The sequence below is a fragment of the Homo sapiens genome, chromosome 17 (assembly GCF_000001405.40).
Source record: "Homo sapiens chromosome 17, GRCh38.p14 Primary Assembly".
Classification (NCBI taxonomy): Eukaryota; Metazoa; Chordata; class Mammalia; order Primates; family Hominidae; genus Homo; species Homo sapiens.
In genome coordinates, this window is record NC_000017.11 from 6,985,123 (window position 1) to 6,997,431 (window position 12,309).

Genomic DNA, 12,309 nt, shown 5'->3' on the forward strand with positions numbered 1-12,309 from the left:
TCATTCATTTATGTTAAGAAGTAGATGGCCCATTATTATTTACAAAATAACTTGAAGAGCCATTTTGGTTTTGGAAAGAGAGCTGGCAGAGCAGAGCTCAGAAAGGAGATGAAACAATGAGAGATAAGTTGTTTTACATAATGAAAGAATACAGACTTTCCCCGATTATACCAAACAGAACCAAGATAAAGTAAGATTTTCCACAACAAGGCACTCAGGGATGGCGATGGAGGCGCTGTGGATCAAGTCAGCCAGAGAGAAATTTCTGGGGGTTGGAATGGTTACAAAATAATGTTAAGAATATAGCCAGCTGTGATGCCACAACCCTGTGATCCCAGCTACTTGGGAGGCTGAGGCAGGAAGATGGCTTGAGGCCAGGCTTTCAAGGCCAGCCTGGGCAACATACGAGATGCTGTCTCTGAAAAAAAAAGAAAGAAAGAAAGAAAAGTATGTTAGGAAGATGATAGATGGCTAATATCAAGCTTTACAGTTGATCCTGTTCTTATTTAAAATTCTAATAGTTTGTTCATTATGGATTTCTTCCATTCATTTTGGTGTTTTAAATATTGCATTAAATCGTTATTTATTTTGAGCACTGAGTTTTTGGTGCCCCCTTAAATGTGGCACTCAAGGAAAGTGCCTCGCTAGTTTCACCCTGGTCCCTGCCCTTCTAAACCTTCAGGAAAAGTCTGTGACATGGACCAGCTCTGTGTTAATGATAGCTGCCAAATAGGGATCAGCTCAGGGTGGAACAAAGACACCATCAGCAGCAGGCAAGACATGAAAATTCTCTATCAATCAGTGACAGCGATTTGAACAATGAAGGATTACAAGGTAAACCTTAGAGCAAAGAGAAAAATAAACAGAGCATGGAATAGTGACGGGGTGTTGCCGGGGATCCCAGAGAAGGGGTGAAGTTTTGCTGCCCCTCATGCCCACTGTTGGACCCTACAGCTCAACTGTTCTTTTAGCTGAGCTTCTTCCAGATAGAATGAAAAATACAAAATACTCTGGCTGGTCTTCCAGCTGGGTCCTGAAAGGAGAGTCCGAGGGTTGGGTGTTGTGTCCCTGAAGACTAGTCTAGCAGTGGGGGCTTGAAGGGGGGTGCCAGGATGGGCCTCCCAATCTCTTTACGGAAATGTTAGAGGCCGGGTGTGGTGGCTCACGCCTGTAATCCCAGCACTTTGGGAGGCTGAGGCAGGTGGATCACTTGAGGTGAGGAGTTCAAGACCAGCCTGGCCAACATGGTGAAATCCCGTCTCTACTAAAAATACAAAAATTAGCTGGGCATGGTTTTGCATGCCTGTACTCCCAGCTACTCAGAAGGCTGAGGCAGAAGAACCGCTTGAGCCTGGGAGGCGGAGGTTGCGGTGAGCCGAGATCGCACCACTGCACTCCAGTGTGGGTGACACAGTGAGACCCTGTCTCAAAAAAAAAAAAATTAAAAAAAGGAAATGTCGAGTAGAGCCAGCTCCAGAATAAGTGAATGGAAGACGTTCAGGTGCATGCGTTCAGGCGGTAAATTCATGATCACCAATTTTCACCTAGTGTCTCAGCCATGCCAAGCATTCCTATCCCAGCCCCTCATTCAGCTCTCTCTCTTATGCCCTCAGAGTCTATTCAAACTTTCTCCACTCTCCTTCTATCTCTGAAATGCCCCTACAACTTCCTTGACCCTCAGAAGCCAGATCCTTGCCAAGCACTTCACAAAGAAAATGCAATTCATCAAATGGGATATTTCCCCACACGTCATTTTCAAGTTGATTTGCTGCCAATTCCATTTGTTTTGCTTTGTTTCCTATTACGAAGGAAGAATTGTCTCTCTTACTTCAGGCCATGTTCCTCTACTTTTTTCCATCATTGCCCCCTTATGGAGCCTTTATGACTTTTTTTTTTTTTTTTTTTTTTGCGAAAGAGTTTCACTCTTGTTACCTGGGCTGGAGTGCAATGGCACAATCTCAGCTCACTGCAACCTCCGCCTCCCAGGTTCAAGTGATTCTCCTGCCTCAGCCTCCCAAGTAGCTGGGATTACAGGCATGCACCACCACGCCCGACTAATTTTGTATTTTTAGTAGAGACGGGGGTTTCTCCATGTTGGCCAGGCTGGTCTCAAACACCCAACCTCAGGTGATCCGCCCGCCTCAGCCTCCCAAAGTGCTGAGAATTACAGGTGTGAGCCACCATGCCTGGCCCTAAGGCATTTTTTCCTAATTGCTCCCCGCTCCTGCTACCTTGTGAAATTTTAACCCCTTAATATATGTTTGTGTACTCTGACCCTTTCGAGGGCCACGAATCATTGCAATATCTAAGATGTGGTTGCCCACTCTGAGAATGCACGATCTGTCTACGGCTATAGCACCCTGAACACATCCAATCTCATCGGATCTCAGAAGCTAAGCAGGGCCAGGCCTGGTTAGTACTTGGATGGGAAAATGCAGATGTAAGGCCAGTTCCTCCACGCATTCTCCAGATTTTATCTCCTCCCTCGGGATCTTCCCCTCATCACTTACACCCAAGGCCTCCAGCATCTTAACCTGTCCCTCTCACTAGCTCTACTGACTACCCATCTCCAGCTCTGGCCTTCTGTTTGTTACCTTCACAGCCCTATTTCTCAAAAGGCATGCTACACTCCAAAATGCACTCTGCCTCCATCTCTCCACTGACTCTATTCTCTGTAATATCACAAACACACTCTGTGTGCCCACACACACATACTCTTTCACCCAGCATTCCCTCATAAGAGCACATTAGCAGCCCTTGCCTAGGACGTAGCAATACTGAATGATGTGTTTCACCAGAACTGTTTATAATCAGCCAAAGCCTTTTTCCCAACTTTACTGAGGTATGACTGACAAATAAAAGTTGGCTATTTTAGGGTGTATGACGTGATGTTTACTATATGCCTACAATTTGAAATGATTGCCACAATCAAGCTAATTCATATATTCATCACCTCACATAGTTACCTTTTTTCCATTGTGCTGAGAACACTTCAGCACATTTCCAGTATACCATACATTATTATTAACTATAGTCAATGCTATGGTTTGGATATGGTTTTTTTTTGTTTGTCCCCATCAAATGTCATGTTGAAATTTAATCCCCAACTGGTAGCGGTGGCTCATGCCTGTAATCCCAGTACTTTGGGAGGCCAAGGTGGGCAGGTTGCTTGAGTCAAGGCATTAGAGACCAGCCTCGGCAACATGGTGAGACCCTGTCTCTACAAAAAAAAAAAATTAGCCAGGCATGGTGGCACACACCTGTAGTCCCAGCTACTAGAGAGGCTGAGGTGGGAGGATCGCTTGAGCCCAGGGAAGTCTAGGCTGCAGCGACCTGAGACTGCACCACTGCACTCCAGCCTGGGCAACAGAGTGAGACCCTATCTCAAAAAAAAAAAAAAAAAAAAAAGAGGAAATGTAATCCCCAGTGTAGCAGTATTGGGAGGTAGGGCCTAGTGAGAGGTGTTTGGGTCATGGGGCTGGACCCCTCATGAGTGGCTTGGTGTGCTTCTCACAGTAGTGAGTTCTCACTCTCATGAGCCTGGATTGATTCTCGGGGAAATGAATTCATTCCCATGAGTGTGTGTTGTTATAAAGCCAGGGTGCCCCTTGGGTTTGGATCCTCTTCGCAGGTGCTCATTTCCCCTTTGACCTTTTCCACCATGTTTTAACTCATCACAAAAGCCTTCACTGGCCAGGCGCAGTGGCTCATGCCTGTAATCCCAGCACTTTGGGAGGCCAAGGTGGGCGGATCACGAGGTGAAGAGATCGAGACCACCCTGGCCAATATGGTGAAACATGGTATCTACTAAAAATACAAAAATTAGCTGGGCGTAGTGGCGCTCGCCTGTAGTCCACCTACTTGGGAGGCTGAGGCAGGAGAATCGCTTGAACCCAGGAGGTGAAGGTTGCCGAGAGCCAAGATGGCACCACTGCACTCCAGCCTGGTGACAGAGCAAGACTCCATCTCAAAAAAAAAAAAAGAAAGTGAGATAGCCTTATTACTGATATGGAGAAAGTTTTAGTGGTCCGGATAGAAGATTAAACCATCCACAACATTCCCTTAAACCAAGCCTAATCCAGAACAAGGCTCGAACTTTCTTCAAATCTGTTAAGGGTGAGAGAGATAAGGAAGCTGCAGGAAGCTAGCAGAGTTGGCTCATGAGGTTTAAGGAAAGTAGCCATCTCCATAACATAAGAGTGCAAGGTGAAGCAGCAAGTGCTGATGGAGAAGCTGCAGCAAGTTATCCAGAAGATCCAGCTAAGATCACTGAAGAAGGTGGCAACACTAAACAACGGATTTTCATTGTAGTTTAAAGTCTTATATTGGAGGAAGATACCATCTAGGACTTTCATAGCTGGAGAGGAGAAGTCAATACCTGCCTTCAAAACTTCAAAGGAAGGCTGGACGCAGTGGCTCACACCTGTAATCCCAGCACTTTGGGAGGCTGAGGCAGGTGGATCACAAGGTCAAGAGTTCGAGATCAGCCTGGCCAACATGGTGAAACCCCATCTCTACTAAAAATACAAAAATTAGCCAGGCATGGTGGCACATGCCTGTAGTCCCAGCTGCTCGGGGGGCTGAGGCAGGAGAATCACTTGAACCTGGGAGGCGGAGGTTGCAGTCAGCCAAAATCGTGCCACTGCACTCCAGCCTGGGTGACAAAGCGAGACTCTGTCTCAAAAACAACACAAAAAAAAACTTCAGAGGGCAAGCTGACTCTCATGAGAAGCTAATGCAGCTGGTGACTTTAAGCTGAAGCCAGTGCCCATTTATCATTCTGAAAAGCCTAGGGCCCTTGAGAACTTGGCTAAATCTACTCTGCCTGTGTCTTTACATGGAACAACAAAGCCTGGATGACACATCTGCTTACATCATGATTTACTAAATATTTTAAACCCACTGTTCATACCTACTGCTCACAAAAACATTCCTTTCAAAAATGACTGTTCATGGAGAATGCACCTGGTCACCCAAGAGCTCTGATGGAGATGTACAGGGAGATTAATGCTGTTTTCGTGACTGCTAACACATCATTCATTCTGCAGCCCAAGGATCAGGAGTAATTTTGACCTGTCACTGTAATTATTTTAAAAAACAGGGCCGAGGCAGGTGTATCACCTGAGGTCAGGAGTTAGAGACCAGCCTGGCCATCATGGTGAAACCCCGTCTCTACTAAAAATACAAAACTTAGCTGGGCGTGATGGCAGGTGCCTGTAATCCCAGCTACTGGGGAGGCTGAGGCAGGAGAATCACTTGACCCCAGGAGGAGGAGGTTGCAGTGAGCCGAGATCACACCATTGCACTCCAGCCTGAGCAACAGAGCAAGACTCTGTCTAAATAAATAAATAAATAAATAAAAATAAACAGGGGCCCAGACATGGTGGCTCATTCCTGTAATCCCAGTGCTTTAGGAGGTCAAGGCAGGAGGATCACTTGAGCCCAGGTATTCAAAACAAGCTGAATAACATAATAACATAGTGCAACCTCATCTCTCTACAAAAAATTTAAAAATTAGCCAATGCAGTGGTGTGCACCTGCAGTCCTAGCTACTCACAAGGCTGAGCCAGGAGGCCCACTCGAACCAAGGAGCTCAGGGTTGCAGTGAGCTATGATCACACCACTGTACTCTAGCCTGGGCAACAGAGACTCTGGCTCTAAAATTTAAAATAATAATAATAATAAAGTAACAAAGAAACAAATACATTTCATAAGGCTATATAGCTGCCATAGATAGATCTGGGCAAAATGAACTGAAAACCTTCTAGAAAGGAGTCACCATTTAGATGCCATTAAGAAAATTCATGATTGAGGCCAGGCACTGTGGCTCATGCCTGTAATCCTAGCACTTTGGGAGGCTGAGGCAGGCGGATCACCTGAGGTCAGGAGTTCGAGACCAGCTTGGCCAACATGGTGAAACCCCGTCTTTTTTTTTCCTGAGACAGAGTCTCACTGAGTGGCCCAGTCTGGAGTGTAGTGGCATGATCTCGGCTCACTGCAACTTCCACTCCCAGGTTAAAGCAATTCTCCTGCCTCAGCCTCCCAAGTAGCTGGGATTACAGGCACCCACCACCACACCCAGCTAATTTTTGTATTTTTTAGTAGAGACAGGGTTTCACCACGTTGGCCTGGCTGGTCTTGAACTCCTGATCTCACATGATCCACCTGCGTCAGCCTCCCAAAGTGCTGGGATTACAGGTGTGAGCCACCGCACCTGGCCTGAAACCCATCTCTACTAAAAATACAAAAATTAGCCAGGCGTGGTGGCGGGCACCTGTAATCCCAACTACTCGGGAGGCTGAGGCAGGAGAATCGCTTGAACCCAGGAGGTGGAGGTTGCGGTGAGCAGAGATTGTGCCACTGTACTCCAGCCTGGGCAACAAGAGCAAGACTCAGTCTCAGAAAAAAGAAAAAGAAAAAAGAAAATTCATGATTCAATGGAGGAAGCCAAAATATCAACATAACAGGAGTTTGGAAGAAGTTGATTCCAACCCTTATGGATGACTACAAGGGGTTCAAGACTTCTTGGAGGAACTAACTGCAGATGTAGTAGAAATTGAAAGAGAACTAGAATTAGAAGTGGAGCCTGGGACGGGCACGGTGGCTCACGCCTGTAATCCCAGTACTTTGGGAGGCCGAGGAGGGCAGATTACCTGAGGTCAGGAGTTCGAGACCAGCCTGCCCAACAAGACAAAACCCCATCTCTACTAAAAGTATAAAAATTAGCCAGGCATGGTGGCGGGTGCCTGTAATCCCAGCTACTCAGGAGGCTGAGGCAGGAGAATCACTTGAACCTGGGAGGTAGAGATTGCAGTGAGCCAAGATCATGATTCTATCTCAAAAAAAAAAAACACACACAGAAGGTAAATTGTTCTGCAAAGAGAGGTAATGGGAATGTGGGAGTTGGCTTGGCTACTGGCACAGACAGCAGGGAATCGGGAGTTTGAAAGAAGATTTACATTTGGCATACACGTGTGCCCACGTGGCCTTTCCTACTGCAAAGGGTGCTGACAAAATCAAGCCCCTGATCCTTCCTGTGGCATACATAAGAACAAAATGGTAGTTGTTAGGGACAAATCAAAATTTAAAAATAAAATGGCCAGGTGCAGTGGCTCACCCCTGTAATCCCAGCACTTTGGGAGGGAGGCCAAGGCCAGCGGATCACTTGAGCCCAAGAGTTTGAGACCAGCTTGGGCAACATGGCAAAACCCCATCTCTACAAAAAATACAAAAATTAGTCGGGCATGTTGGCACGGGCCTGTAGTCCCAGCTACTGGGGAGGCTGAGGCAGTATAATCAATCACCTGAACCTGGGAGATCAAGGCTGCAGTGAGCCGTGATGGCGCCTTTGCACTCCAGTCTGGGTGACAGAGTGAGACCCTGTCTAAAAACAAAACAAAACAAAAGGCTGCTAGTCAGTTTGGGCTACTATAACAAAACACTGGCCAGGCGCGGTGGCTCACGCCTGTAATCTCAGAACTTTGGGAGGCCAAGGGGGGCGGGAATCACCTGAGGTCAGGAGTTCGAGACCAGCCTGGCCAACATGGTAAAACCCCATCTCTACCAAAAATACAAAAATTAGCCAGGCATGGTGGTGCGTGCCTGTAATCCCAGCTACTCAGGAGACTGAGACAGGAGAATCGCTTGAACCTAGGATGTGGAGATTGCAGTGAGCCAAGGTAGCGCCATTGCACTCCCGTCTAGGCAACAGAGCAAGACTCTATCTCAAAAAAAAAAAAAATTAAAGGCTTAGTTCTCCATGTTGAAAGTAAGGGAAGAGACTTCTCCACCCTCTCTTTTCTTAGAAAATTTGCTTTAGAAAACTTGTAAAATTTTTTTTTTTTTTTTGAGACAAAGTCTCACTCTTGTTGCCCAGGCTGGAGTACAGTGGCACAATCTCAGCTCACCGCAACCTCCGCCTCCCGGGTTCAAGCAATTCTCCTGCCTCAGCCTCCCAAGTAGGTGGGATTACAGGCATCCTCTACCACGCCTGGCTAATTTTTTGTATTTTTAGTAGAGATGGGGTTTCCCCATGTTGGCCAGACTGGTCTCAAACTCCTGACCTCAGGTGATCCACCCACCTCAGCCTCCCAAAGTGCGGGGATTACAGGCGTGAGCCACCGCACCCAGCCAGAAAACTTGTAAGTTATTTTCTGTGTCTTCAAAACGTGTATAAATATTTTTAGAAGCCACACAGCCTCTTGCCAGCTTTACTACCCAGGGATGTCTTTCACAAAGACCCAGGAGCCATCTCCTTGAAATGTAAACACCAAGAAAGATGGAGCCTTCATTTCCCAGTTTCTGTGGGAGGGTAGGACTAACTTAAATGGACACTTTGCTTGAGCTGCAAAACTATCTGCTGTCATAAAAATCTGAAAAGCTGGCTGGGCATGGTGGCTCACGCCTGTAATCCCAGCACTTTGGGAAGCCGAGGTGGGTGGATCATCTGAGGTCAGGAGTTTAAGACCAGCCTGGCCAACATGGCAAAACCTCGTCTCTACTAAAAATACAAAAACTAGCCAGGCTTGGTGGTGCACACCTGTAATCCCAGCTACTCAGGAAGCTGAGGCAAGAGAATCGCTTGAACCTGGGAGGTGGAGGTTGCAGTGAGCCGAGATCACGCCACTGCACTCTAGCCTGGGCAACAGAGCAAGACTCTATCTCAAAAAAAAAAGAGAAGTTTTTCTTCTGATTAAGCCAGTTAGCTAACATAGATGGTCATCACAATTGCCAGGTGTCTCTAGACTGCACTATATGTGACAAATGGTGCTATCGAGTCCTCCTAAAGATTATTTATAGTTTATCTTGAGAACACATATGTAATGGGCTGTATCTGCTTGGCTAGATAAAAGTGAGACTTCCTTCTGTCTTTGCAGTCTCTTAGCAAACTGCCTGTGATGTGCTCACATTCTGGTTTAATGCTTATTCAATAATAAAACTGTTTTCTTTCTTCACTACTTTCGTGGAGAGGTTTTTTCTGGGTTGGGAGAAAATTTTGCTTCTAATTATATTCTCCCAACATAGCGCATGTGCTTAAAAGGGAAACAAAAGCAGGAGGGGGAAGGGTCTAGAGTGATAAGAGCTCTAGTGAGAGGCTAGGCCTAGAGAGGGACATGGAGAAATAGCATGCGGAGAGGAACGGTAGAGGAGCAACGCTAACATTCAGTTGTAAATAATACAATCATAGCAGCTAATACATAGAGGGACTACACGCCAAGCACTGTTCTCACTGTTTAGCCATATTCACTCATTTAGCATGCGCAGTAGCTTGAATCCGGTTTTTCAATTATTCATTCCCTCTCTCTGCACGTGGCCGTAGAGTACACTAGAGTGGGCAGAAAATAAGTCACAAAACAGCAAAGAAACAGTGCTTTTGGAAGTAGGTATGAGACAAACTCTTTTCTAGGCAAAAGTAACCCACGAAAATGTGTGTGGAAAGGCCAGATCCTACTATTAGGCAGGATGGGAATTTGAGCCATTTTATTTGGATATTACAGAATGGGGTGACCCCAGAAAACTGGAAGAACTGGGGACCAGCAAATGGCCGACCTGCAGTCCTGAGCAGAGGATGTAGGCCAGAGTGGACCTAGAAGATAAGAAAGGGAATTGAATCCAGTAAGGGACAGACACTTTATTTTTTTATTTTTATTTATTTATTTATTTATTTTTGAGATAGAGTCTGATCTGGAGGCTGGAAGGCGGGGCTAAAACTCCCACTCACTTACCTCTACCAACAACTAGGCCACCAAGTCATTTCTGAGGACTGGCTCAAGAAAGCAGATTTAACTTACACTGGCCTAGCCCAGGCCACCAGATGCATCCACGGAGATCCAAATGCATATAATCACTTGAATCAAGATCTAGACAGGGACGCGTGCAGCAGGCTTCATCTGACTGATTCCTGACACGGGAGAGAAAGCCTAAGCTCCGAATCATCCTTCAATGTTTACAAAGGCCCTAAATAGCAGTGGGCTAATTGCTGTTCCTGGATTTCCAGGAGACCTGAGACCCATGAAGGAGCAGGAAAGAGCTTGGGGATAAAAAATTAATCTGGAACCTACTGGAGCGGAAGGGGCTGCACTCACCTGGAAAAGACAAAGTTCTTGGGAACTGGCCACGTAGGCCAGGTCCCTAAGCAATTCCATCCCGCACCCTAACACCCCGACTGGTGTTCCTGGGTCCCTAACATTGTCTGTACCCGCTTCGGAGGTTGGACAAAATGAGTTTTTCACTGCCCTGCCTCAGGCCTCTCTCAAAGGTCTGGCCCATGATATTTGGTGTACATTGGGACCCCAGCGCCCAGATATTTGAAACGGGGTGGGGAGCGGGTGTTGAGCTGCTACATTTCCAGGTTCTAGGTACCCTGGGGAACCCCTGGTCGTTGACGGAAGCACAGCGTTCAAGGGCGGCAGAGCTCAGGTACTGGAGGACACATGGGCCGCGCCGGGTCTAGCCGCGGGACATCCCCAGACCCCAGCACGGCCTCCCAGGCCGACCTTCCAGAAGCCGGCCCACTGCCTTCCCCGGGTCCCAGCCCAGAAAAGCGGAGACCTTCCCCTCCGTTTGGAAGATGGACTCATCCCCTACTTCCTCCTGGCTCCCCAGAAGACCTGGAGACCTCGGGAAGTGTTCTCATCTATGTTCGCTCCAACCCGGGGGCTCAGGCCCACCTCGATCCCGCCTTCCCGGGAGGTCCAGGAAGGTCCCGCCGCACCCACCCCGTTGGCCTCACCCTGGCTCGGGCCCCTTTATCATCCTGCAGCTACGCTCCGACCAGGAGGCACAGCCAGTCCCCACAGCCGGCTCTACCGCTCTGCTCGCAGGTTTGGGCTAGTCTGGGGCGGGGACTTGGGAGCGCCTAAAACTTGCGAGGAGGGCGGGGCCGCAGACCGGTCCTTTAAAGGTTGGAAGTGGCCCCGAGGCGCCGGCAGCCCTGGGCGGTCCCGGGAATCGCACAGGACCCGGCTCCCCTCGCCTAAGCTGCTGGGGGGCGCCATGGGCCGCTACCGCATCCGCGTGGCCACCGGGGCCTGGCTCTTCTCCGGGTCGTACAACCGCGTGCAGCTTTGGCTGGTCGGGACGCGCGGGGAGGCGGAGCTGGAGCTGCAGCTGCGGCCCGCGCGGGGCGAGGTCAGCGCGGGGAGCGAGGGGAGCTAGGGCAGCGGGGACCCCGGGCCCAGGCCCGGGCCGAGCTGGGCTCGCGGCGGGAGGGCGGGAGGCTGGGGGCGAGGTGACAGCGCGACCTCGCGGACTGGGACTTCCACGAAGCTGGGACGAGGTGGGCAAGATTAGGGACAGGGTCCGCAGCTGGGATCCCGGGCTGGGCTCAACCCCATCTCCCTTTCCCGCCCCTGGTCCCGGCAGCCCCCAGCTCCTTCTCCCAGTGACCCAGAGCCAATGTAAGTATGAGGCCAGAGGTCAGACGTGAAGCTCCTCCAAGAACCGGCGCGGGGAGAGCTCAGTTAATGGGACCCACGTGGGCGATGCTGCTCCAGCATCAGCTCCAGGCGCTGCGGGCCCTCGTCCTCCACCCGACTCCGGGCGTCTGAGACCCAAAGAGCAGGTTGTGCGGGGGCGGGAACGAGGCGATGCTGTCTTTGGAGGCCCTGAGAAACTGAGGTTGCACAGGAGCGCGGCTCTGTCCTCGAAACGGCCTCAGTCGGGTCCCTCCTACTAAGTCTGGCCTGGGTCCGGCCTGCACAGGAGGAGGAGTTTGATCATGACGTTGCAGAGGACTTGGGGCTCCTGCAGTTCGTGAGGCTGCGCAAGCACCACTGGCTGGTGGACGACGCGTGGTTCTGCGACCGCATCACGGTGCAGGGCCCTGGAGCCTGCGCGGAGGTGGCCTTCCCGTGCTACCGCTGGGTGCAGGGCGAGGACATCCTGAGCCTGCCCGAGGGCACCGGTGAGCAGGCGGCGTCGGGGAAGGAGGCACAAGGTCTCGGGAACTGCTGCGGGGCTAGGAGGGCAGAGTTAAGGACGGTCGGAGCAGACTTAGAGGATGTATGGGCCCAGGGCAGGTGAAATGTAGGGATCCCAGGGTGCTGGACAGAAAACGGGAAGGAGTTATGAATTCCCAAAGTTTTACACAGGCTAAGAGAGGCTGCGTGTGAGGCTGGAGGCAGGGAGTAAGTGATCTGGAGATCCCATCTTCCAAGAAGGCAAAGACAGAAAGTGGGAGTTGCAGCGATCCAGGAAAACAGAGAAGCAAAGTGAAAGTAGGAAGGAGATGTAAAGGTGACTCAGAAGTCAGGTGAGGGGACCACATGGAACAGGAGGGGGTGGGTGACCCGTGAGAGCAGACAGCTA

General features: G+C 49.5%; 1 protein-coding gene and 1 long non-coding RNA gene across 3 annotated transcripts in view; one reads left to right on the plus strand and one right to left on the minus strand.

Moving 5' to 3' along the window:
- ALOX12-AS1 (ALOX12 antisense RNA 1) overlaps nucleotides 1-12,309 on the minus strand; it is a 27,212-nt gene continuing 14,903 nt past the window's right edge. The window contains exon 3 of the long non-coding RNA NR_040089.1: nucleotides 1-418. This is a non-coding gene — a long non-coding RNA (ALOX12 antisense RNA 1). The remainder of the gene's footprint in view (nucleotides 419-12,309) is intronic.
- Nucleotides 10,927-12,309, plus strand: part of ALOX12 (arachidonate 12-lipoxygenase, 12S type) — a 14,706-nt gene continuing 13,323 nt past the window's right edge. For both annotated transcript variants that reach the window (NM_000697.3, XM_011523780.3), the window contains exons 1-2: nucleotides 10,927-11,130; nucleotides 11,704-11,905. In NM_000697.3, the coding sequence (NP_000688.2) occupies nucleotides 10,996-11,130; nucleotides 11,704-11,905 (337 nt within the window). In that variant the 5' untranslated portion in view covers nucleotides 10,927-10,995. The remainder of the gene's footprint in view (nucleotides 11,131-11,703; nucleotides 11,906-12,309) is intronic.